Source organism: Homo sapiens, chromosome 4, assembly GCF_000001405.40.
Source record: "Homo sapiens chromosome 4, GRCh38.p14 Primary Assembly".
Classification (NCBI taxonomy): domain Eukaryota; kingdom Metazoa; phylum Chordata; class Mammalia; order Primates; family Hominidae; genus Homo; species Homo sapiens.
The window spans coordinates 145,259,328-145,261,385 of record NC_000004.12 but is presented as its reverse complement, the minus strand read 5'-3'; the positions used below and the strand labels follow the sequence as shown (position 1 = coordinate 145,261,385).

General features: G+C 47.6%; 1 annotated feature.

Moving 5' to 3' along the window:
• Positions 643 to 1,357: an enhancer, noted in NCBI's record as "OCT4-NANOG-H3K27ac-H3K4me1 hESC enhancer chr4:146181181-146181895 (GRCh37/hg19 assembly coordinates)". NCBI's record gives its function as "activates a minimal SCP1, AML or CMV promoter by ChIP-STARR-seq in naive H9 embryonic stem cells {active_cell/tissue: H9 hESC(naive)}" and the evidence as "EXISTENCE:reporter gene assay evidence [ECO:0000049][PMID:30033119]".

Here is a 2,058-nt window from a genome sequence, read left to right as displayed (position 1 = left end):
GCCACTATGCCCAGCTGTAAACCTGTTTTCTTTATAAATCACCCAGTCTCAGGTATTTCTTCATAGCAATGCAAGAACAGCCAAATACAGAAAATTCGTTCTGAGAAGTGGGGTATTGCTATAAAGATACCTGAAAATGTGGAAATGACTTTGGAACTGGGTAACAGGCAGAGGTTTGAAGAGTTTAGAGAGCTCAGAAGAAGACAAGAAGATGAGGGAACGTTTGGAACATCTTAGAGACGGGTAAAATGATTGCGACCAAAATACTGATAAGTGACTTGGACAATGAAGTCCAGTCTGACCAGGTCTCAGATGAAAGCGAGGAACTTACTGGAAGATGGCATAAAGGAAACCCTTGTTGTACCTTAGCAAAAAGCTTGGCTGTATTGTGTCAATGTCCTAGAGAACTGTGGAAGTTTGAACTTGAGAGTGATAACCTAGGGTATCCGGTGGATGAAATTTCTTTGTTTTTTTGTTTTGTTTTGTTTTGTTTTGTTTTTGAGACAGAGTCTCACCCTGTTACCCAGGCTGGAGTGCAATAGCACAGTCTCAGCTCACTGCAACCTCTGCCTCCCAGATTCAAGTGATTCTCCTGCCTCAGCCTCCTGAGTAGCTGGGATTACAGGCACACACTCCACGCCCGGCTAATTTTTGTATTTTTAGTAGAGACGGAGTTTCACCATGTTGGCCAGGCTGGTCTCGAACTCCTGACCTCATGATCCACCCACCTCGGCCTCCCAAAGTGCTGGGATTACAGGCATGAGCCACCACGCCCAGCCCGAAATTTCCAACCATCAAAGTGTTCAAGAGTTAGCGTGGCTGTTTCTAATGACCTACATTCAGATGCAGGAGCAAACAAATAACTTAAGGTTGGAAGTTATATTTAAACAGGAAGCAGAACATAAAAGTCCGGAAAATTTTCAGTCAGGCCATGTGACAGAGAAAGAAAAAGCATTATCTGGAGAGGAATTCAAGTAGGCTGCAGGGCAACTACTTGCCAGAGAGATTTGCATAACTAAAAAGGAGGCAAGTGCTGATAGCCAAGACAATGGGAAAAAGACCTTGAAGGCATTTCAGATATCTCTGCGGCAGCCCCTCCCATCATAGGCCTAGAGGCCTAGGAGAAAAGAATTGTTTAGTGGGTGAGGCCCAGCGCCCCACTGTTCTGAGCAGCCTGGGGACACTGGTACCTGCATACCTGCCTCCCTGCTGCTCCAGCTCCAGCTCCAGCTGCAGCTCAAAGGGGCCCAGTTACTGCTCAGACCTCCACTCTGGAGGGCACAAATCATAGGCCTTGGAGGCTTCCATGTAGTGTTAAGCTTGTAGGTGCACAGAGTGAAGGAGACTTGGCAGCCTTATCTAGATCTCAGAGGATGTATGAGAAACCCTGGGTGCCCAGGCAGAAGCTTGCTGCAGGAGTGGAGCCCTGATAGAGAACCCCTACTAGGGCAGTGCAGAGGGGAAATGTGGGGTTGTAAGCCCCACACAGAGTCCCTACCGGAGCACTGCCTAGCGGAGCTGTGGGAAAGGGGCTGCTATCCTCCAGACCCCCTAGAATGATAAAGCCACCAGCAGCTTGCATCCTAAGCCTGGAAAAGCCACAGGCACTCAAGCCCAACCTGTGACAGCAACTGCAGGGGCTGCATCCTACAAAGTCACAGAAGTGGAGCTTCCCAAGACCCTGGGAGCCCAACCCTTGTGCCAGTGTGCCCTGGTTGCAGGATATAGAAGGCATCAAAGGAGACAATTTTGGAGCTTTAAGATTTAATGACTGCCCTCCCCTGGGTTTCAGACTTGCATGGGGCCTGTAGCCCCTTTCTTTTGGCCAATTTCTCCTTTTTGTAATGAGAATGTTCACCCCATACTTGTACCCCCCTTGTATCTTGGAAGTAAATAACTTGTTTTGATTTTACAGGCTTATAGGTGGAAGTAGATGAGTCTCAGATGAGACTTTGGACTCTAACTTGGGACTTTTGAGTTAATGCTGAAATGGGTTAAGACTTTGGGGGACTATTTGGAAGGCATGATTGTATTCTGCAATATGAGAAGGGCACGAGA